The sequence below is a fragment of the Homo sapiens genome, chromosome 15, assembly GCF_000001405.40.
Source record: "Homo sapiens chromosome 15, GRCh38.p14 Primary Assembly".
Lineage (NCBI taxonomy): Eukaryota > Metazoa > Chordata > Mammalia > Primates > Hominidae > Homo > Homo sapiens.
Genome location: NC_000015.10, coordinates 53,504,761 through 53,529,888, shown reverse-complemented (window position 1 = coordinate 53,529,888; position 25,128 = coordinate 53,504,761). Strand labels below are relative to the sequence as shown.

The 25,128-nt window shown below is 36.0% G+C and overlaps 1 protein-coding gene and 1 long non-coding RNA gene across 14 annotated transcripts in view; one reads left to right on the top strand and one right to left on the bottom strand.

Moving 5' to 3' along the window:
- The window catches only part of WDR72 (WD repeat domain 72), a 249,138-nt gene extending 232,990 nt beyond the window's left edge, over positions 1-16,148 (top strand). For all 11 annotated transcript variants that reach the window (NR_102334.2, NR_102335.2, NR_102336.1 and 8 more), the window contains 2 exons: positions 6,567-6,671; positions 12,135-16,148. Coding sequence is in view for 8 of the 11 variants with exons in the window: in XM_011521436.3 (XP_011519738.1) it covers positions 6,567-6,671; positions 12,135-12,190 (161 nt within the window). In the remaining 3 variants the exon portion in view is untranslated. The remainder of the gene's footprint in view (positions 1-6,566; positions 6,672-12,134) is intronic.
- LOC105370826 (uncharacterized) overlaps positions 1-25,128 on the bottom strand; it is a 107,205-nt gene that overhangs the window by 23,111 nt on the left and 58,966 nt on the right. For all 3 annotated transcript variants that reach the window (XR_007064645.1, XR_007064643.1, XR_007064644.1), the window contains exons 2-5: positions 20,707-20,759; positions 20,089-20,157; positions 15,797-15,885; positions 14,986-15,118 (exon numbers count right to left, since the gene is read on the bottom strand). This is a non-coding gene — a long non-coding RNA (uncharacterized LOC105370826). The remainder of the gene's footprint in view (positions 1-14,985; positions 15,119-15,796; positions 15,886-20,088; positions 20,158-20,706; positions 20,760-25,128) is intronic.

Genomic DNA, 25,128 nt, shown 5'->3' with positions numbered 1-25,128 from the left:
GTTTTCTCTTTGTAATACTCCTTCCATCCTATATCCTTATAATCTGTTTCAGATTCTGAGAGTTTAGATAATTTGATTTGAGTTGGCTTTCATGCCTGGTTTGAGTAAGACAAAATGACTTCATGGACCCCATCCTTACATATAAAAGGAATAGAAAGAGTTGGGAGTATACTGATTCTCCCTTTGGATTGAGGAGAGTATGAGTCCACAGGAACACATACTGCTCCATAACCTTGTCTATTCGTTCAGCAATCATTGAGAACCTCCTTATCGCTGAGAAACTGAAACCAAGAAGGAACACTTTCTCTTTTAGGAAAATGCCAATCTTCCTTAATTCAGAAAGGGCCTCAGAAGTCCTCATTAGTTCCAACACTAGTGTAGTGGCCATTTACCCTCTTAGTATCCTGTTCAATTGTATACTCAGTAGTTGGTTGGTCTTGGATTCTTAGCTGGCAGAATATTTGAGTCTCAAAGCTGGAAGGTATCAAAGAGGCTGTGTACTTCAACTCCCTCATTTTATAAAGGAAAGAACCTGAGTTTAGGGAAGTGAAACGGCATGCCCAAGGTTACACTATTAGGAGCAGAGGTAAGATTGAAACCTGTTTAAGGATTTGTTTTGTTTTGTTTTTTGTTTTTAACAATACAACACATTCCCTCTCTGGGAACTCATAAGTTCACCTCTTTAATGAAATTTTTTATATTCTTTTAAAAAAAAAAAAAAAAATATATATATATATATATATGGGCTAAACAGTGTGGAATATTATTTTCCATCCAAAAATAAGTCAGACAGGGTTTCCTTCTTTATGCAGACTTCCTTTTGGCATTAATAAGAAGTTTTTGGACATTTTTGATTAAGCTTGAGCTGTAAACCCTAACTAGACCTTGAGATTTTCCCTTAAAACTGCAAGTGAAATTAATCATTGATTTTTAAAAAGTTTTTATTGTGCCTTGCATTAGGCTGGAAGTGCAGTATCTGCTTGCTTATCAGCCTTACTGAGGCAGCCCATTGCTCAAAGTCCTGAATAACAGAACAATTTGAGAGGAATACAGCAATGTTTAAACAGATTCCGTAAGCAATTGATACCTCTTTCTCATTTATCTTCCCCAAACTTGGCTGGGGGTCTAGCCATACTTCTCACCTGTGGAAGTTTGCTATAGACAGATTTTTCCCCTAAGCCTAAATAGTCAATAATTTAATCCTCTCTGTGTGTATTTAAATGAAATAATAACTTAAATTCTCTACATCTAGGTAATAATACAAAAATAATAGTTACTCTTCACAACATTTCAGAAAATTCATTTTTTATTAGTTGAAAAATAGATCCTCTTTAAAGCGATTCATTCTAGAAAATGCTACCCACAAAATAATATTCCATATTAGATTACAACTGCAGGAAGATGGCAAAACACATAAGTCTAACCTTAACTCATCTTGCTAAACTTGTCTGTAAAATAGTTATTAGTTATAAAGAAGCGTTAGATACCTAATTTAATTGGGGGCATTTCTACATGATTCTTCCCCAATTTCCAGTTCACACTGAAGACAAAGTAAGCCTAAAGTCTAATGCAATATGTAACTATTGCTATTCAAATATAATCAGGAAGTCCTAGCACTTGATTATCTGAATAGATACTCTTAAAGTAAGGGTGATGTGTACACAGCTCTTTAGCCAGATAAGTTTTCCTGATAAGACATCTGTCCAGAGAGATGCCACTTGTAAACTGAATTTGGAGTCTGTTCAAATGACATCATCTTTGTTTACAAATTTAGTGTTACCACTTAACATCTTTTCATAGATTATGCCTCCCTCTGATTTAAAATATCTTGCAGTCTTTTGAGATCTGCCAGTATTGCATTAATATTTTCTTCTACCTGAATTTTATGTAGCTTTTCTCACTTCCATACTTCTAGAATGCTATCTTTTAGTTTATTTTATAGTGACTCTTTAAAATTGGAGAGAGATCTGAATTATAAAGCAGGATGGCATTCAACTCTTGGCTACCATATTGAGCTAGTAACTTTGAATTCAAATCTTTGAGTTCTTTTTCACTGCTTATTTCACAGGCCTGAGCTATCTTTTAGTCTTTCCTGACCTCTGCATCCTGTACATTATTTTTGTGCCCCTGATTAATGTGTAATTAAGATTTTTGTTTGGCTTTGGTCTGGTACTGCAGTGGTTTATTCTATTCAGTTGCCCAATATTTCAAACTGCTCTATCTTTTAATTAATGATTTTCCTATAAATATCCTCATTACTTCCAAAAAGCCTATACAGATGACGAATGAGATCTATTTTTAAATCATTCATAAGTTATTGTATTGAAAATGTTATTTAGGACTGCAGATTTTATTCACACTGTAAATTATAGGGTTTTTTCAATGGGCTCCATCTGTCCAACAGCAGTTGCCTAGCTTGGAAGATCCAGCCACTGTTTGTGGACGTGGATGGAGACTTTTTTCCAGTGGCCACTCTCTTGCTGGGGATGTGGAAATGTTTCTGGGGGGAGTTGTTCGCTGCCTAGGCCTAGCCCCCTTTAACAGCTAATACCATCTTTCTGCAAGTGAGGAGAAAAGGAAGAACGGAATTTTTAGAGAATGACTGAAACCAAAATAGAGAACAGAGCAGGTGGAGGAGTATTATCACCGATGGCCCTGCTACCACTTTTCTAATTTTAACAACAAATCCTGCTATAGAGTCTTCCTCATACTATCTCCTGAATTTCCTCTTACAGTGTTCTTGAATGTGATTTAAAAACTATTGGTTTCATCTTCTCTTTGGCCAAACAATTCATTTCTTTAGGATCTAGAAGAATTACACTAATAGTTAAATGCACCATAGTGAAACACATCCATACGAAGTTCATAGATTCCTCTCTTCTCTAGCTACCAAAGATATTGCAAAGATATTTAGAACACTGGCCCTTCAGTCGTCAATATTTTGAGGCATGTGATGAGTAAATGGAATAGCCTTACATCTTTCAGTGGCAGAACTGTCAAGAAGAGTTTGCCTTTTTTGCCCCTTACCTTCAAATGTGGACTATTTCAGAATCCATTACAGAGGAAATAAACAGTTGATTTTAAGCTAAAGATAAGTCTAGCAACCATTTGCATTATATTGATGTCAAAAGTATCTCTCTGCCAAGCTCTGAAATGCACCTTCAAAAACTACTGAAAATATCCAAGAACTTTAGTGATGAGCTACAAATGGACTTTGGTATTGATAAATAAAAGTCAATATGTATAGTAAAAGGACAACTTACTGTGATAAATGGGCCCACCATGAGTAAAGATCAAATTATTGACTATCTAAAGCAAGGAAAAACCTGTCTATAGCTAACTTTCACAGGTGAGAAGAATTAGCTAACAGCAGCAATTTAGAAAAAGCTCAAAGAGACATGTAAAGAGAATTCATTAAAAATACATACCAAAGTAGGCAGCAGCTTTAACAACTATATCTGTGGCACTAGGCTAATGTGTATCTTTGGTCATGCCTAGGTTCACACCCTTTTCTTTTTCCTTGAATGAGCTCCCTTTGGGTTTTCCACATTCCTACTCAAGGATGTCTAATTCAAATTTTACCTTCAGACTACTCTATTGTAGAGGAATTCTCCTCTGCACTACTAAAAACCATGTCCCTCTTAGAATGTCTTCTCCGGTGTTCCTACTAGTTACTTTTCATCACACTTCAATTAGAGCACAAGTTGTATGAGGGCACATTAAAAGTGCCTTCATGTCTTTACCCCTCACAGTCCAGCACAGAGCTCTACCCATAATAAACACTAGAGCAATATTTGTTGATTCATCATTATTGAAGTGATTCATTAGAGAAGCCTTGGTCACACATCATGTCAGAGTTCAGTGATGAAACATCACAGGAAACACCCAAAAGAACAATTGCAAGGATTAGCCTATCAAACAAACAAGGAAAAAGTAGAATGGCAGTAATTAACCTCTCCAGTGCCTTCTATTCCCAACTGGCAGAATGTAGCTATTTCTTCTACAGTAAATTTAATTGGATGCCCTAGGAACTATCCAGTAAAAATGACAAATCTTGTATCATTTTAAATTTGGAAACTAATCTGTAACCAAGTTCAATATCTGAAGAATAACCATCTTTATTTCCCCTCCCCCACACAAGTCACACCCTCCAAAATCAGAGGTGGAAGCAAAGTTGTAGCATGGTACCTACTAGTGTGAGTTTAATGAAGATCATGCAGCTAAAACTACAGCTAACTTTCTGGCCTTTTTGAAGGGTTTGGGATGTCAGTTCATTCTGGGACCACTTTATTGCCACAAAGAATGGTTGCAGACATGTACTTTGTCTAATACCATGTCCTCTTCCTCTGTGAGGTCCCTGATTTAGAACAGTATCTTCTGAATATTTATTTGGTGCTTGATAAATATTTTTTGAAGGAATGAATAAATGAATGAATGGAGGAATTTTTTAAATTATGAAAGAATAGTGTGTTGGATGGCAAGTGCAATGCATTTGCCCAAATCAATAGAGGTGCCACCTCATTGGCTTTTAGTAATAGATTTAGCTATATGATTTATTTCCTTTTATAAATACCAACATAAATATTTCAGAAAATTATCAAGAAAGATATATAGAGATAAAAATCATTAAAGTAGGCCAGGAAATCTTGACCAACATAATAGTATTCTGAATGAAACTGATACATTTAACTATACCACTTAAACATTTCACAAAAAATCTATGGATTCAAAAATAATCTGTAAGTATGACCTAAACTGAAGAAAATTAAGAAAATTAAACTCAGCTGCATCAATAACTACTTAGGCCACACATCCTCTCCTTCCATGTCACAAACTAACCCACATCACCATTTTGCAAACATGCATCCTTGGTCTCAAGTTGGCCTAACAAGGAAATTGAACAGATCCATTGAAAAGATAATTGAAAGCACATATCCTCTTGGATCAGAAGGACATTTAGCATGGTACCTCTGCATCATTCATGTGTTCATTCATTCATTTCACAGATCCTTCAAGAATACCTTCTATGGCCTAGACACTGTTGCATGTGAAGTCCACAGAAACATATGGATGAAAATGAAAAGATCAGATTTATTATTGAAAATAGCAATTTCATGCTTTTCTTATATTTTGTTCCCAAAAAAGGTTTTAGAAACGTAGTAAATTCTAACTATGCTGGCACTTTGATAGAACAGAGAAGTCATATCTGTGTCCTGAGAGAGTTGGTGAAACAATCTAGAAGGAATATTTAAACCAGAATCATGTTACTAGTCTTCTCTAAAGTTTGTCCGTGTGGTCTTCAGGTTACAAACATCAGTGCTATGCACACTTCATTAAAATAAGTGGAGGAGTGTGCCAGGTCTGAACACTACTAATGCTGACTGGACCTTGGGTGGGACACCGTTGTGTCACGTACCAAATGTGTGAAGTAGCACAGTCTCAGCCTCTGCATTGCTTTCTTGTCTGGTAACAGAGGTTTAGAAACAGTGTCTAGGCCCACTCCCCTGTGCCAACAAACATATCTTATGTGTGATTTGTAAATATATATTTTGTTTATTGCATTTATGGTTTATAAATACATTGCATGTGTTATCAAATCAGTAGTCGTGTTTATTGCAGCAACTTGTAATAAATAAAATTCCATTGTACTCAACAGTATCCATATATTTAGAACATTTGGCTTAATTGTGACCTAATTTATGCTATTGCAGGCTTGTTTTGCTTTTTCACTGAGCTTCTTCATGAAGACAAGGCCCACTTTTTCTGACAAATATTTTCTAGAACAAATGTAATATGGAAATATGTTACTTCCTGGAGACAACATAGAGCAAGTATTACAACTTGTGGAAAAAGTGGAAACTTCAGTCTGTTTCTCAAACAGAATTAGTCGGTACCATGGGTTTATAGAAAATTTTGGACTTCTGTACTAGTTTCCATTTCTGGTCATAATTCTACAATATCTCATGATAGGTTGTCTGGAGACCTACCATTTGAAACAATAGCCCTTCTTATTATAACTTTCAGTGTATATTCATGCTACATTTTAAAATTTACTTTTTATAGTACTAGTTTTTTTGGTGTTTGGTACCATAGTTTTTAATTTAATGAAAGAGAGCCAAAATGCACACAAAATGTTCATTAGCTGTGATTAGTGCAGTGAGAGGAAACATTGCCACCAGTACAGAGCTGGTCTTTCTAATTGACTAGCCTGATGTTCTTCTCTCTGTGTTCTATTGCTGTTAATTGACTATATTGTTTTAGATTTATGCATTAAAAATACGATTTCTACTTCGAAGAGATCACTTTGTTACTTTGTAGCTTTTAAGCTGATGCCGTGAACTTATTTTTCTTCTAAGATAAAGTCACATCTATAGATTTTTCAACTAATTACATGTCTGCCAATAAATACTTAGAGGATACATTTTATTTCAATTTATTATTTGTGTTTACATAGTGTGTCCCTGGAAATATCTGTGGAACTGAAAGGAAATGTTTTAATGGTGTTTGCTACTACTTTTTCATCCTCTCTCTTCTGTCTCTCTCTCTCTCTCTCTCTCTTTTAATAGCTCCAGTCAGCCCGGTCAAGCATGACAGCAACTCAAACTCGGCAAACTTCCAAGACGTGGAGGACATGCCTGACAGATGTGCCTTGGAAGAGTCTGAGAGTCCAGGTGAAAGCCATTTAAAAATAGTCAAGTATAAAATGATAAATTTGACACAGCTTTGGGGTCCTTGGAAGGGGGTGAGGGGAGAGGACATTGTAATGCTGTTTTCTCTTAGCAGCTGCACTGTCAAATTAATGGTCACCTCCAGGGGTCACAGTGTGGAGCTGTTATCTTTTCCTCTTTCATCAAGAATTCAGTTGGAGGAAGTACAAAGGCTTTATGACTGAGAAGGGAAGCTGACACTATTAGTTCATTATCATCAATTTTAGGCTAAATGGTTAATAGAGCCAGAGATTGGAAACTATAGAGAAATGGCAACATTTTAAATATTTCAAATAATGGAAACTAACAAGAGGGGAGCGGAAGTGGACAGACGGGGGTGAAAAGAGAAACTGTCATCATTACAATTCTATTTACCTTTCTAGAAACAAACAGGACTGTAACTGGGATGACAGGATTTTAGCATGATGGTAATGAATACTGTCAAATGTTTAGGGAAAATAAAGTCTAGAAAATAGTAACCCTTCTCTCATGCAATAAAAGCTTTTCTTTGTCAAAGTTACATATTTGTATATATCCTTTATAGAAATAAAAGAGAAATGTACTAGAAGGATACAGCTAGAAACACTTATACAAGGATTTCTGTTTCTATTTTTGTTTCATTTTGAAACACGCCTAGCCTTAACTAATTAATTAGAATCAAAAAATCTTGTAAAAGTCGAATGAACATTCCTGGATAAATACAAAGTTATAAGGTGCTAGAAGGTACCTTATTATCATGAATGAAAGAGTTAAATATCTCCTCCACTTAATATTTGTGATTCCTGTTTTATCTGGCTCCTGTGTACCCTCTACCCTCTCACATCTTTGTGTGCTGATCCATGTATCATATTTTTGATTCATCCTCTCTGTGGCCTGTCAGCTTAGTTAAGAGATTTCCAAATCTTGTAGCCTTTGTTGACAGGGGGCAGCTGCAAACAAACAGTCCCCTGATCCTTCCCCAAGGAGAGTTACTGAGATTTAATTTTCAGTGAAAGGTGCAGCCTGCAATCTATGTCAGGTCCCCTAAGTCATCTCGGAACCCCAATAGGCGCAGTGGCGATGGCATTGTATATCAGTCCTCTTCACTCCACCAAGATTCCTCTGAAGATGGACTGCTGCCCTGTGCCTGTTCTCAACCACACTTCTGCTTTCAGATCCCATGGAACTGAGAAATGGCATCTTTAGCAGTGACAGAAATGTTTAATGAGCAAATTAACCCCACCCCTTGCCATAATAGCCAAAAGAAAAATGTAGATGAGTCTCACTCTAAAAGGGAGAGGGTAAATAAATGGTAGTGTTAAATTTCTATAATAAAAATTATTTATCCATTACTTTTAGTTTTGACTAATGTTGCCAAATTTTTATTAGGTTTTAAAAGTGTCTTAATACAGTTTTCTATTACTCATTTTGTCAGACAGGTAAATCTGTGAATCAGGTTTTTACCTAAATGTCCATTGTTTTTGATAAGAATAGATCAGCTTTATATCATTTCAAAAGTAGAATAAATTTCCATCATCCCTTAATATGAATGGAATGGGAGCGAGATTCAAATATAACATTCTCTATCTGATTGATACACACAAACGTGTTTATCAAGAAAGAAAGATTAATTAGAAAATATAGGTGCTGATAAAGAATCTTAACTCAAAAAGTGAGTACCGTTCTATACATCGGACATCATTATGCTGGTAATAAAGAATGAATTACTCTGGCTTTTTCCTCTGTCCCTTCCTGCATTTTAAGACATCTTGCCTTATAGGCCTAGAAACCTCTGGAGAGTTCACTACTGGTCTCACTGCCTTCCACTGAGAATTTGTGGCTTGGTTGTCATGGAGACATCGTATTTCTCCAAGAATTGCTCATATTGATCCGTGGCCAGGAGTAAATGGCCAAGCCAGTGTGAGGAATAAAGGGGGCTGGGCAGTCCTATAAAATGACCAGGGCTTGTGGGTTGGAAATAAGCTCATAGCAAACACTTAGCTAAAAAGAAAGAAGCAGTTTTATTTTGTTTTAGGATTTCTTTCTGCACTTTGGGCCATTGTCTTCTTTCACTGTGAACTGAAAGAAACTTGTTAGTCACTTGTCATGTCAGATCTTTGGTGCTTGTCCTGACACAGCTGTCAGCCTTCCAGCTCTGTGCAGTTCAGGGACACACAACAAAGAGGCAGTGACATGAATTATTTATTGCTCCTTGTGTGGATAAAATTCTGTGATAAGAAATTAAGACACTTCTGACAGAGGTGCTTGTTTAGTAAGAAAGATTTTGATGAGAGAGTGTGTTTCCTTGAAGCATGAGTATTCGATGGGCAAAATTCTTAAAATTGAACATGGAGGAAAATAAGTTTTATGTTTCTCGTGTGAATTTGGTGGCAGAGAGGGATGTTCTTGAACTATAAAAATATGACTTTTCACTTTTCAAAGCCCAAACGTTAACTTCAAAATATCAAGTCTTTCAAAATGTAGGGGTTCCAAAACCATAAGCATTACTCTAGTGGTTTAGTTACCTCTATTTACCACATGTGAGTGGTGTTTCTCTGGAAAATATTAACTACCTCAGTCAGAAGAAGAAACAAATTTGGGGTTTTTAGGTGGTGAGATTTGGGAAAATGTCCTCGAACCAGAAGAGGTGCTTCAGTAGCTAAACTTACAATTGCATTAGTGTATTCCTTAGTCACTGTATGGAAAAGAGTGCATTTAATTCTGAATGCACATTCTTACCATTTTCAACTGGAATGTTTTCATTCATTTAAAATTCCTTTTAACATTTTTATGTACCTGCAAAATCCCCCAGTTACAAAGCTGAATGTGGTCAATCTTCTAACTTTAATGGATATTGAACTTACATGGTTTTATCTATGCAATGCTAAATGACTAATATAATTATTACATCATTTTAATGAATAGCTCAGTTGTTTGAACAGCATATAGAAAATGAAAAAAAGTATTTTCCATGCAAACACAGTTCAAGTATATTGCTTTGTATATTGTTCATTCCACATAAATTCTCTTCTTTGCAAACCTTGTAAACATCATTTTACTTTAAACTCTTCTGGTTTTATATTGTGAATACGAACGTATTTTCATAGGCAGAAAGCAAAAGGGACATTGAAGCACAGAAAAAGTTTTTGGAAAAAGTGAAGTTGATATTTAGATGTTGATAGAGTTTTAAAATGTCATTAACAAAGCCAAGTTGCTTGAATTTATATAAAATAGAAATAACCACTTCGTGTATTACCTCTGAATACAATGGGCTTGAACTCAGTATGTAGATTGTTTATTTTTATATTGGCATCACTCCTTCTCCAGCACTGAATTGACTAGGATGACCCATTTGTAAATGGGCTGCAGTCTGCATATAGGTCACAATTTAGATGGCTTGTGGAGTGATTGTTCACCTGGTCTCTAGAGCACTCTACCTTATTCATCATGCCATTGTGATCTCTTTATGGGTTCAAGCTGTATACCCAGGTGAGTGCCTGGAGTCCATTAAGGTAGGCAAAGCACCTTTAGACCAGAGCATTCCTATTACTTTGACCCTGCTAGTGAACCTGGAGGTCTTGTCTGATAGGGAAAAGTGTCTCTGAGTAGTGTCTTGTCTTCGGAATAATTCATTAGCAAAGAGTTTTCACTCACAGGTGAATCCCAGATTGAAGTTTCCGGCTTAGACTCTGTGAAGTCTACTTGCTCCTTCACTGGCATTTATACCTTCCTGAAACCTGTGGGAATAACTTTGATGTCTAGTAATAGAAGCACTGAGACAGTATCATGAACTTTCAGCTCCCTCTTTTGAGATTTTAGGGCCATTAGGCTTTCTTTCTTTGGCTCTTTAAGGCCTGGTTGCTTCTGAATCTGAAAGATGTTATCACAAAAATAGTTCAGTGGAGCCTTTTGCTGGTTAACTTCTTACTGTTTCTTTTACAGTGATTAAAGCTTGTTTTTCATTCTTCAGAATAATTTTTTAAGGATTTCTAGCTCCTCATCTTTAAACTCATTCGATGATAGAAAATTTAGTGTGACATTCACAATTTTTATGACAGTGTTAATGAGAAACCTTAAGCCTTTGTCACCATATTGGCTTGGAAAATTAATAATTTTTCTTTTTAGTGCACTAGAAACAGTGCACTCCAAAGTAGCTTCAGCTGAAAATAATAGTGACAAGAGAGAATTAGAAGTCCAACAAAATGCATTTACGTAAGTGTTTCCACATCATTCTGAAGTAGTTTATAATCAGTATGCATTCTGCCATTAATAGAACATTTTTGTGGTTTTTATAAGGCAGGTTATCTATGTAGATCTATATACATCATTGTCAATCAATATTACATTTGCATGAGTCTGATGACCAAAACTAGATTTCTCACAGAGTTTCCAGGGGATACTATACTGTGAAAAGCCAAGGTGGAGTTTTTTTTTTTTCTTTTTCTATTCTGGCTCATGAATCACCAGCAAAAATCAGGTAACAGAAAGTAGGACAGATTCAGGACTGGAGTGTTGGAGATGGCTGATGATGATGCATGAAGCAGAAAAAATGTGGAATGTGTGAGCAGCCGATCAATCATGGCCATTGAGAACACACTTCTTATGGTTAGCGCTAAAAAAAATCTAGAAGAATTAAGAGCAATTCCAGTAGGAAGATATAAGCACTTTCTTCGAGTTGTTTTTAACAATATGACATTCTTAAAATTTACCCAAAAGCAAAATTCAAGCATCAACATATTTTTTAAAGAATGCAAAATTATACATTAATACACACACACACACAGTTAGTATACAGTACTGGTTTAACTAAACCATAGTTTTTGCCAGTAGGAGTGAAAGTTACTATTCATAGACATGTCATTAATATAAATGTGTTTTAAAATAGTTATTAAGGAACAATGTTCCAATTAGTTTGGTAGTCAATTTGATTTTAAATGAGTGGCTTTTTTTAGCCTACAAAGGCAATCATCCAAGTAATCTGAGAAATAAATACTTGTTTGATTCTCTAACTCAAACAGTATTTCAACTAATAAATTTTGACCCTAAAACTGCAGTTGTGGATTTTTCTAAGAACAATTAAGCTGTTTGAAATTTATGGAAATTTACTAATTTCAAACTAAATTTTTCTTATAGAAAACTTCCATCTTCCTTGGCAGTTAAAAAAAAATCCCCAAGCTATTAATAATGTGTGCAATTAAAGTGTATTTACCTACTTTATAAGACAAGTATATTTTTATTATATTAACTTGTCTTATTTTAGGATGGAAAAGACATGTAGAAATTATAAGCAATACCTTTCTTCCTTTCTTTCTTTTTTTCCTCATTCTCTCCCTTCTTCCTTTCTGTATCTATTCTTCATTTCCTCTCTCCCTCCCCTCCTCTTGGTCTTTCTCTTTTTTCTCTTTTTAGATTTCACCATATAACCCAAGATATCTGCTTTTTTCCTAGGTGAGCCAAGGCATCATTCATGGATAGCAAAGGTCTGCCCCTGCAAGGTGTCTTAAATGGAATCTCATCAGTAGGAGCTGAATTTGGACAAATTAAGAAATCCAAAAGATGCCATTTGTTTATTACTGTATAAAAGCATTGTTGTTATTGGTCAAGTTATTAGGCTGTAGTGGATTTGCTAATACTTTAGCCAACATGTATTAAAGTGATTTTAATACATGCTGATTACAATGCAATACATACTGATTGAAAATATTCATATTCATCTAATTTTAGAAAAATATTGCCTAGATCATTCTCTATTCCTGTTTCTTACTTTTTCTGTTAATATTTCCAACAGGGAATGCCAGTCCACAGACACAAATTTAATACTGCTTTAAATTTTCTCCTATCCTTTTAGTCCCTGAATTATATAATAAACAATGTTAAAACCAATGTAGTACACAATACTTACTTACAAATTTAATACTGCTTCAAGGTATTTAATCTAAAATTTTACCAACTTTGATTTGTCTGGTTAGGATATTTTGTTTTAGTGGATATGCTTTAATTCGGATCAATTACTGCAGTAAATCTCATCCCTAAGCATGAAATGTTGTCAACAAATACCCAGTTCCATTTAGTTATCAATTAGCCCAAATAAGAGATACAAAGTATAACAGTGACCAACCTTGTACTGTTGAGTTAATTTGAACTTCTAATGACATTGAGGCTAATGTCTTTAGCTCAAGGTTGATCTTGTTGGCCATATAGATGTGAACTAGGGAAGGGGAATCAACTTACAGCATATCACAATTGATCCTTATTAAGTATAAACTCTTGTAGGTCTTTTCCCAGAAAGAAGCTTGACTAGCAGGAATTCTAAAACTGAAATATATCAAACAGCATAAATAGGAATAGACATAAAGTGCTCTTCTATTAAAGCCTTTGGTGATCTATTTACTATGATTTATATTGTACAGTTCCTCGATTTACAGAAAATCATCAAAATTATTAATCTACATATCTTATGTATATAAATATTGCCTAATCCATAGAAAAAAGGATATAAAGTATTAAATATGTGATATATAGCTATATCTATCTATCTATGTATCTAATAGGGAAGTCCAAGTCACTTCAATTGAAGAAACATATCTCTGAGCATAGGAGCAGCCTCAGGTCCTATGGTGGGATGCAGTGGACAGGAGAGGGGGAAATTAGAAAAGAGAACTATATAATTGAAAAAGGGATATAAAGCATTAAATATATGATATATAGCTATATCTATGTATGTATCTAACAGAGAAGTTCAAGTCACTTCAATTAAAGAAACATTTTTGAGCATGGGACCAGCCTCAGGTCTTATGCTGGGATGCAGTAGACAGGAGATGGGGAAATTAGAAAAGAGAACTGTGTAATTGAAATGACGTGGGCTGCACCCTTAAGGAACTTATAATTAATGATGATCTGAATAAACATACCAGGATAAAGATGTCAAATGAGTGTGACTCCCTTAAAGTAGATTAAAGTGTGCATTCTTTGTTTCCTAAAATATGATTTTACTGCTTGAAATTACATTTGAGTTGAAGTTTAGAAACTAACATAGCATTAATATGAATAATCATGGAAAATTATTATCCTTTGAAAACTGATTGATAAATATATTCCCCCTCCTTTAGAAACAGTCAAAAGCCACTTCAAACAAGTTTCAAAATAAAGGAAGGTAGCAAGTTAGGCGATGGATTATATTTTCTTGCTTGTTGTATACCAGTTGTCAAGGACATTATAAGGACTCCCAAAAGCATTTTGAAGGATGGCAATATCAAATAAGTGTATGTCCTCTCAAATGAGGCATTTTTAATTGTTAAAATCTATTTGGACGCTCAGGTTATGATATGTTTATGAAAAATAAGCTTCATTATTTTTATAGCTACATCCTATTATTCCCTTTTAGAAACAAGAATAACAATAGGTTTTAATAGTTGCCATACTTAGCATTTATCAGTTCTAATGAAACCAATATTGAATCTCTGATAAATATTTTCTGATGTTACTAGCTATGGGAAATTAGAACTGGCACAACCCTGACATTACTAAGTGGAAATGTTAGGATTTTTCGGCATCGCATGTTAGAATCTCTAAAATTTAAACATTCCTGTTAAATGACTAAGGTTTGCTTTTATCAATATGAATTCTGAAGGCCAATATCATACCATTAACTATGAAAGCTTTTAATTCCTAAAAATAGTTTTAGAGATATTCAAGCAATGCTCTCCTAATATCCATACGCAAGTGTGTTTATGACACAAATTCACTAGTCTGTTTAAAAATGAATTCTTTATATTGACTGGTGTTCCACATATTTCAGTAATTTCTGTTATGAGAGGACTTGAAATAGCAAATTGCCACACAGTTAACTGGATAGACCACGTACGTGGTGATCATAACCACTTGGTACTACACCCAGAAACTCAAAATTGTCTTTCTCCTGATGAGATATGGGTGTCCTTTTGTACGTCTAGGCCTAGGTAACCAGTGGAGTGATTATATTAGCAAATGTGTTTGTATCCGGAGTCTTCCTGTCATTGTAATAAAAAATTTATTTAAAAATTTTGTCTTGTGTTTCTTTTTTGGTAATCATCTTGGTGATATTTATGAATGTATTTGTGTGTGTGTGTGTGTGTGTATACATACATATATATGTGTGTATATATATACACACATATATATACACATATATATGTGTGTATATATATATATATATGGCATATCCCCCAAAGGAATATCATATTTTCATTTGCAAGCCTTGATTCTTTGACTTGCTGTTGAGTTTCACATTGGCTCCATTGTATATTGCAGGAAAAAGTACCTGGAAAGCCTGGAGGGTTAAAAGCAGAGGCTCCTCGGCAGCGTGTCCAGGCCGTGTGTGCTTGCTGTGCTTGTCAGAGCCTCATTCCCTCCCCTGTGTTGGAGAGCTTTCTCACAGGGCTCATCCAGAGGTGCTAGAAAGCAATGTGAGCACTATTAAACACTTCAAATATAAGGAAAAATGTATAATGTTAGAAACACACAGTTAAAAAGTAGCCCCAGGTATCAAACATTCTGTTACTATTTTAGAAACTAAATTAAGGCTGCTTTGAACATGATGGTATTAGAAAAATGGTAGAATACAGTTTGTTAAATATTAATATTCTATCTTTAGATGATAGCATTTGGTGACTTTTATTTCTTTTCTCATACATTTTTTCCAGTGTTCTGTATTTTTAAAATCCTTTCATAATTATTATAATGAACACTTTAGAAAAGATACTATTTCTCTTCCATCCTTAGAGGGCACATTATAATAATTGAGTATTTTAAAATTAAATTTTATGCCATGTATTTAAAATGAAAGTTCAGGTTACATTAATTCCAACTGATTTTAAAGCCTTATTTTCACAGAGTGGACTCATTCAATTTTTTAAATTTTATATTCATACATTTTGATTGCTCAGTTATATAAAAGCGGTGTTATAGACTCCTTTATTCTCCACAAAATGTTGTCTTATATGTAAAGTGCCAAAAGTTGTGTTTAATTTCCTAAGAAAGTCATTGCTTTGTAAACATTTGCATAATACTTAGTGTTTTTTGTAATTTTAAAAAATTAGCTTAACCAAAAGAGTTGCAAAATTAAAACTTACTTGAGTAGGTATCTTTCAGACAAAGCTGCATGGCTTCATGTACAATAGTCCCCAGATCACCTCGCACTGTAGTTTGCTCAAGAAGGAGCCTACAGATGGCAGGTAGGAGAAGGTAAACTGGAAATTAACAGGTCTGTCTGTAAGAGCATGCCACTGGAAACACCCATCCAATTTGGGACCCCTGGAAGACAGCATGTGTCTAATGGGAGGCCTGTCCTAGTACAACTCCTTTACTCTTTTCACCTTCATCTTGACCTTCTCAGATACCATCTTTATGTAAAATGTTGATGTTGTGGAGTTTTTGCAGTAATTTAATTTTTATAAATATTGTATTAAAATATATTTATCTTGATTACTGTTTTTTGTTTGTTTTGTTGTGTTTTGCCAGCACCTACTCTTGGATTCTGCTTGTTAAGTCTAAGATAAATTCACCTTTACCCCAGAAAGCACACTGCAGGTAAATGGACTGTGACAATTGCATCATTACAAGCATGATTATAATGAGGCGAATGGTAAGAAATAATAGTTATTGTAATACTATGTGAAAACTAAAGCCATAAACCAATGAAGATATCCGAAATGGCCTACTTCTAGAGGTATACTGAGGGAAATTAGGCACCCGTTATATGCAAGGCTTCTCACACAGAGTAGTTCAGACCAGTACCCCAGCCTCCACCTCCAGCCCCACAAGGGGTGTGGGGAGGTCAGTCAAGAGACCACATGAATGTTTCCCCTCTTGGCAGGGACAAAACCAGGAGGAGTTCAAGGGTGGAAGTGAAGCGGGAGCATATTTTATTCTTCCATTGACATTGTTCCTCCAAATGCCTATTTTTCATTGCACAGAGCATATTTTCCTAACATCAATTTTAGGGTCATTTTTTTTTTGTCTTCAGCATCCTGCTATTGGAAAAATAGCAATGATTTTTATTCAAGGATACAAAGCTTTTAACACTAAAGATAATTAGTCCTTATTTAGTCCATAGTACACTATGCCTAAATCTACAAAGTGCATGCCAGAAAAACGCCAATATTCATAACATTGTGTAATAGGAATAATTAGTTGGCACATGCTTCCAAAACTCATCATTTATTCACTTAGCAATCATTTTAATTGCAATTATCTGTAAAGTCATCAATCAGGTTTTCGATCTTGCATGTATATTTTCTAGGGAGAAGGTGTTTTCACACAGCCTCAGTAACAGCATCGTGGCCTTGGATGATGCCTTCCAAGATAAAAAGACAGCCTGTGATGTTCTTGACATATCACAGGTTTCCTTTAGGCTTTTAAAGAGGTTTCTGGTTAATTCTGTACTGTCAACTACATTTCCTATCAGAAATAACCTCTCTGATCTATATCAAAAGAATTGTGACATCTATGTTATCCCCGTTAGCATCAATTTATAGTTACTATATAATCAATTGAGGAAACAATGTTTCATTTCATTTTCTTTTTTTTTTTTTTTTTTTGTATTTTAGAATCTGCTAGGGTAGGAAAGAGGGAGGACCTCTAGTACAGTGAGATTAAGAACCTTCATCCTTTCCCTAAGACATAGCTATGGGGATCAAGTTGCACTTGGGATTTTTTTATAATAAGGAAGAATTCTTTGAATCGGCTTCTATTTCAAATAATCAGTGTATTCACACCAGTCTAAGCAAAACCATTTACTCCAATGTCTGCAAGTATTTGAGATAGAAAATGAGGCGAAACTAACAAATACTAACATGCCTTCAGGATAGTGAAGTAAATAAACAAATTTGGGGATTTCTAAAGTACATTTTCATAGAAAACATACTGCAGCTGATGCCTGTCTGAAAGGTGTTAGATTTTGTTTGTAGTCTTCCCACCATGTAGGTGGCAGCAACACTCAAGGCTAGAAATTTTCTTTCACATTCTCTTAGCTCTAGTACAAACATATTCTTACTAAAAAATCCTTGTGGGAGAGAAAAGGTTTAAAATGTAGAGACAAATTTCTCGATGTCTTCACCTATCTCTAAAGCACTATTTTAAGGTTGTGCTTAAAATGGTTCCCATAATGTGAAAACATTCATCATTCCCCTTAATACAGAAGTCGTAGTCTGCCCTCATACATGTTGGTAGTAGTAGGTTGCTGTTTTTTTTTATTTACTGGGATGTTACTTCTTTACCCTTTCTCAGACTAAAGCCGTTCTCTTAAGAAAAAGGAAGAAATCTGCTTTAGTCTCCTATCGCCTATGTTTTTTAGGAAAATAATACAAGGCTGTCCCCTTTTTCTTTGTAAACATCTAAGAATCCAGAGGATTGAGTATATGTTGAGAGTTTTCTCTTAGTCTTCAAAATGCAGCCATGTTCTCTGATTGTCCTAACTATAAGTGAGTGCATTCAACTCGGTTCTGTGTGCAAATCAAATGAGGGCTCTGTCAGAGCAGAGAGGCTCAGGGTGCCTGAGAGTGAAGGCAGAAGACCTGGACACAAGACATGTGGGTTAAAGCTGAGAGTGTTGCCATTGTGTGGATGAGGGTCACTGCCTTGAGAAAGCTGTTTACTCCTGTGCCTGGGTGGAAATGAAACCAGGATGTCCCCCAACCCCCTTATAGAAATAAGTTTGTTTTTCATTAATACTGGAAACTGATGGGCAATAGGCTTTTCCTCAATTCCTGGTGTTTTGCTAGAACTAGTACATGTTATAGCAAATACAGGCAGCCTTTCTGCAAACATCTTCAGAGTGCTCTTGTTACATAGGGTCAGTCAACATGTTGAAAACACCAAGCAAACACACACAATTCCAGGCCCAGGTGAAACAGATAGCAGTTACATTTCCAGGCTAGGAAGAGGCCATTAAGTGGTTTGGGAAGGTGAAGAGAGGTTTCTGCATCTACTGTCTTTCAATCTTAGTTTATATTCCCCCTCATTTCTTGTGTCCTTCTACATCCTTGATCTTTCTTCCCACATCTATGTAGTTCAGTGCAAATCTTTTGAGAAATAGACCCATGCATTGAATATGGAGTCAGAGAACTGATATTGTGTCCCAGCTTCTTCACTTTCTTACTTGCTGTTTGAGATTAGAAAGAACTTTCGTGTAATATTCTGAACCTCAGTTTCCTCATATATACATTGAGTCTAATAATTCCAATTTTGCAAGCATCATACACGTGTTATTTAATATAGTATTACAAATACTGAAATTACTATACATACAAAAAATACCTGGTTAGAATCTTAATTATGGCCAACCATAATGGCATTCCAGTGCTTAAGCAGGCTTTTTATGCAGATTGGATAAAGCAGTTTTGCATAAACAAGCTAAATTGGTTATTTGCATAAAAGTTTATTCTTTTAAAATGTTTCATGTTAACTTGAATTTTGAGCAATTCCCAAAATCAAGGATTACTTTCAGAGTTTTTGGTAATTTCTGTAGATGTTAGGGCTTTCCTCAGCACAGTGGGTAATAATAAATAGCAAGTAGTTATTTTTCTGGGTCCCAGAAGATAATCTTCTGGCAATGTTTTATGTCAGAGTAGGATAGGCCATAGTCCATCAGGGTTGTACAAAAAAACAAGTAGCTTCCCTCTTGACTTCTGCCAGTATGTATACAATCAAATGACACTACAAAGGATATTTCTGTAGCCTTAGGTGAGTGTGATGAAAGAAACCAAACCAGGGCCGGGCGCAGTGGCTCACACGTGTAATCCCAGCACTCTGGCAGGCCGAGGAGAGTGGATCACTTGAGGCCAGGAGTTCGGGACCAGACTGGCCAAAATGGTGAAACCCTATCTCTACTAAAAATACAAAAATTAGCTGGGTGCAGTGGTGCACACCTGTAATCTCAGCTACTCCAGAGGCTGAGGCACAAGAATCACTTGAACCCCGGAGGCGGAGATTGCAATGAGATCGCACCACTGCACTCCAGCCTGGGTAACAAAGTGAGACTCTGAAAAAAAGAAGGAAGGAAGGAACGAAGGAAGGAAGTAAAGAGAGAGGGAGAGAGAGAGAGAAAGAAAAAGAAAGAAAGAAAAGAAAGAAGAAAGAAACCAATCCAAAACACCTAAGTACTTCTAAAGAGGTGTCCTAAAACAGAAAGTCAATGCATTGCTGAAAGGTTTTCTGTAAAGCAAATATGTATGTCAGATTCTACCTTTGCACTGAGAATGGTTTGTATTCACAATGTTTTCTCACCAGACAAGAATCTGAAAATGGATAAACTGAGCAGAAAATATTAATCAAGGAAGAGTTAAAATGGAGACCTGACTGTGTTGTCGGGGCATCAAATACCAACAGAATGTACCTGGAAAGGGAAGACCATCCCTATTCTTACCTTCATAAATCTTGGTGAAATGTCTCATTAGAACTCTGTCTCTGCTTCTGTCCTCTTCTTTCCTCCTATCTTTAAGTGAAAATAAAAATACTATTAGGAATAATAATAATAAATAACTATGGGGATTTTCCATTAAAATGGTAAATTAAAGACATTCATCTCCATGCTCTCCTGAAGCCTCATTGAGATGATGGGACAAAAAACATAAACCCAGGAGAAAAATAAGAAGAAAAGAAATAATAACAGCAAAAATTTAAAAACTGAAAGCAGATAAATGCCATAGGGGACAATGCCAAGAAATGAGCCTGCTGGTATTGCAGAGCTCCTTAAAGGTTTAGGAAATGGGTCAACTGTGACCTCTAAAAGTGGGGGTACAAGTGTGGCTGAAACAGGAAAATTGTTTGAAAGAAACAGTTAACTTCCTTGAATCCCATTCCCATTTAGCATACAAGCAGTTACTCTTCCCCTCACCCAGCAGACACCTAGATGTTCCCTCTCTGAACAGGTTGAACAAGAGGGATTCTGGACTTAGGGACACTAGGCCAGCCAAGAGCAGGTGCATCATCCTGAAAGAGGAGGGATGGGTGAAAATCTGTACACTGATGGCCACACACTTACCCCAGCTTCCGTCTGCTTTGTTCCAAAAATGCTGGTAACTGCTCTTATTAGCCCTGGAGAAAAGACAGATGATTCTTTTATGAAAAAACAACAAGCCTGAGGCCAATAAACACATGAAAAGATGCTCAATATCACTAATCACCAGGGAAATGCAAATTAAAACCACAATGAGATACCATCTCGTACCCACTAGGATGGGCCACTATTGAGGCGGAAAAGATGGTAAGGAGGTGGAAAAAATGGAACTATTGTGTACTAGTTGGTGGGAATGTAAAATGTATCATCCAGTAATTCCATTTCTGGGTATATATCCAAAATAACTGAAAGTAGGATCTCAAAAAGATATTTTATGTCGTTGTTCATAGCAGCGCTATTTATAATAGCCAAAAGGTGGAGGCAACCCAAGTGTCTATTGATGGATGAATAGATAGACAAAATGTGCTGTAGTCATACGATGAAACAGTATTCATCATTAAACAGGAAGGAAATTCAGACACATGCTACAATATGGATGAACATTGAGAATATTATGCTAAGTGGAATACGCCAGTTACAAAAAACACACATACTGTATGATTCTACTTCTATGAGGAACATAGAGCAGTCAAATCATAGAGACAGAAAGTAGAATGGTGGTTGCCAGGACAGGAGGGAGGGAAGAATGGAGAGTGATTGTTTAATGGGTAGTTTTGGTTTTAACAGCATGAAAGAAGACATTCCAAAAGTTAAACATATGTGATAGCATTTACTTTTTCAGTCCAACATTTTTTTTTTTTTTTTTTTTTTTTTTTTAGTTTCTAATGTACTAGGCACTGTTCTAGCCATTGAGAATTCCACAGTAAACAAAACACACACACACATTCCAAGGCTAGCATTTTTTTCCAAAAAGAGTTTAAAAAATACAACTGAGGGCCAGGCGCGGTGGCTCATGCCTGTAATCCCAGCTGCTCAGGAGGGTGAGGCAGGAGAATCACTTGAACCTGGGAGGCAGAGATTGCACATTGCACTCCAGCCTGGGCAATGAGCAAGACTCCGTTTCAAAAAAAATTACAATTGAAGAAATGTCTCACAAAGTGGAAAAATTAGGAGAGGCAGTAGAAAATTTTAAGACTAATTCAATTAGAGGGGGTCTTGTGTGAAAAATAATATTAATGAGAGCTCTACAAAGAATAAACAGAGAAATCAGGGGGAAGAAAATTATGTAAAACAAAATCAAGCAAACTTTCCAGAACTGATGAAACCAAATTTCAGATTGAAAGAACCTATGGTGTGCTCAGCAAAATTCATAAAAATGACCCATATCAAGGTACATTTTAGTGAAACTTCAGAATATTAGAGCAAAAGAAATGTTCTTAACATTAGAAAAGGAAGGATAACTTTTGCTCAATACAAATAATTAGGAATCCGTATGGCATTAGAGCTCTTAATTGCAATTCTGGATGCCAGAAGAAAATGTGGCAATGACTTAAATATCCTGATGAAAACCATCACCTTCCTAGAATTATACTTAGGCAATCTATTTCTTCCATGCACTCTTTCCCATGAAATTGCTGGAGGATATGATCCACCTACAAAATGGAGTAAACCAGAAAAGTTTAGCATATGCAACATGGGAATGAAGAAATGTCCACAGAGGACAGGGAAGGCAGATGGCATGTCTACTGCTGTGCTCAAGCCTAGAAAGCAGCTGGTCTAGATTTTAGCAGAAAGTAGAGGATTCCCATAGGGACGTCTCCAGGACAACAACGGAACTGACAGATTACTCGGTAAGTCTGACTCTACTGAGAGTAATGTTAGAGTTCTGTCAATGGGCTTGGGTCATGAAGTAGTGAAGTATTGTATATGACAGAAAACTAAACGAATAAAAAAGAAGGAGAAATAGAAGAAATGTAATCATAGTGTATTACATGACCCAACTGTAGTAATTCTAGTACTAATTATTACCAAATAATTATTACTCTAACAAAAAGATATAATGAAACTATCAGGAGGATGAGGGAATTGTGTGAAGGGAATGGATGGGAGAAAGGAAAGCTAAATCCTTATTCTCTATAAATCAATAACGTGGGCTGGGCACAGTGGCTCACGCCTAGAATCCCAGCACTTTGGGAGGCTGAGGCAGGTGGATCACCTGAGGCCAGGAATTTGAGACCAACCTGGCCAACATGGCAAAACTCTGTCTCTATTAAAAATACAAAATATTAGCCGAGCATGGTGGCAGGCACCTGTAACCCCAGCTAGTCGGGAGGCTGAGGCAGGAGAATTTCTTGAACCCAGAAGGCAGAGGCTGCAGTGAGCCGAGATCATGCTATAAATATAATTTTTTAAAAAGCACTAAAATTAGGAACTTTAATTCATCTGAAATAATGGGTAAATTCCCACTTTACAAATTTTGTTATAGCAAATGTTGGCATATTTAATTTATTTACAAAAAAGAGTTATCTGGAATCTTTTAGTATTTCATCTCTATTAGCCTTCTTTGTGTATGGCCCTGTAGTTGCATTTCTCTGATTGTTTAGGGCTGTAACTTAAGAAACTACCCAGGTCTTACAGTTCCTCTGAACTCCACAGAAATGTCACCCAGTTGATGCTGTTCTACCCCAGTTGGCCACTACCCGGTCTTTGGAGTAATGCAAAGCCTACTGATGTGGCTTGCAGGCAGGAATTTTCCTGCACTATGGCCCCGGTTGGTAATGATCCTCCTTTGTAACTTGATTAATGAGTGTTATGTGTGATTAATGAGTGGGATGATGAAACATTAAACAGCTGAATACAATATTGAGTATCTGGCTGTTCAGAAGGTCACTTTTGGATATCAGCTAAAAATATTGGTGAAAAATATTCTATGCCTGCATAGCTGTCTAGGGACCTAGAAGGCCACCTACTTCTTTGCCTCTCAAAAAGTTATTCCAAAGTGTTGTCAGAAGAAAAGCATAATAGTATACAAAAGTAGCTCCAAAGTAGAACACTGGAGCTGTGAAATTTTTTCTCATCTTGTAGTTTATCTTTTAAAATTCATTTAAATTTTGCGTTCATATACATTTGTGTTTGTTAAATACATACTCTTCTAACAGCTAACATTTACTGAACATTTTATGGCTGTGCTGTGCCTAGTACTTTACATATAGTTTCTTAATCTTCACAGCTATTTTATAGGATAGATTTTATCCTTATTAGGTATAAAAGGAAACAGAAACACAGACAGGTTGAGTAATTTGCTGAAGACCACACAGCTAGTAAACAGTGGGAAAAGGAATTAAACATTACAGCATAGTTTCTAAGCATGCAGCCTTTGCTTTCTGACTCTTTGGAATCATTCAGTCTTTTATAACTGCCTTTCTTATCTATGGTTCCCAGTTTTTCATAAGGGGTATTAGGACTGCATTTTAAAAATCATGAATCCGTTTCATCTACTCTCGTTCGTTATGACAGAAACCAGTAGAATCAATGTCATCACTTTTAACAAATATTGATCAACAAATTATTGATTTGATTAAAAAACCTATAGGTGTTATATTCCTGGCATTAATACTATCAATGTATTTGTATCAATTTCCTGGAAGCCCTTAGTGGAGGGTCACTTTGGAAACAGTGGGCTGGATCTAGGTGTTCTTTTGCTCCATTGATAACACTCTCTACCAGCTAGGCACCAAATCACATGGACCAGGAGTCTTGCAATGTCAGATTCAGCAATGTGTGGCCTTCACCATTATGTTATATTGCTGACCACTCACATCTTTCTGTCCTCATATTTAACAATGCAATAGTCAGATTTAATGGCCATTTTCAAGCTTCATGTTTTAGATGTCCTTGGTGGTATGTACATTCCCATCTATTCCCATGGTATTGAACTTGTTATCTTTGCATTGATTGCTAGCCTACATTGTGGGGTTCCCTGAGTGAATATACCATACATTCTTGGCGCCCTCAATGTTGTGTGGTCACAGAGTACTCCTATGCACGTAAGGGCTCTTAACCAGGGAAACATCCTTTTGAGTTGAAAGGCTAATGGAATGGACTTCCCAGCCAGAATATCAAGGTTCTTTGACGCATTACAGCAAAAGTCCTTCTCTGGTGTTTCTTGATCAGGAAAACAATTTAAGGATGATTTGAACTCTTTTTCTAAAATTGTCTAAGCTCGATTGTCTAAGGCAGGGGTTTCTCAACCTCAGCACTATTGACATCTTGGGCCAGGGAGTCCTTTGTTTGGTGGGGACTGTCCTTTAAGTTGCAGGATATTTAGCAGCATCCTTGGCCTCCACCACTACATGCCAGTAACTGCCTACCCCCTACTGTTAGGACAAGCAGAAAAATGTCTCCAGACACTGTCAAATGTCTCCTGGAGGGACAAAATTGCACCCAGTTGAAAAAACACTGGTGTAAGGTAAATTCCAACATAAATTCCAATGAAAAAGTTCATAA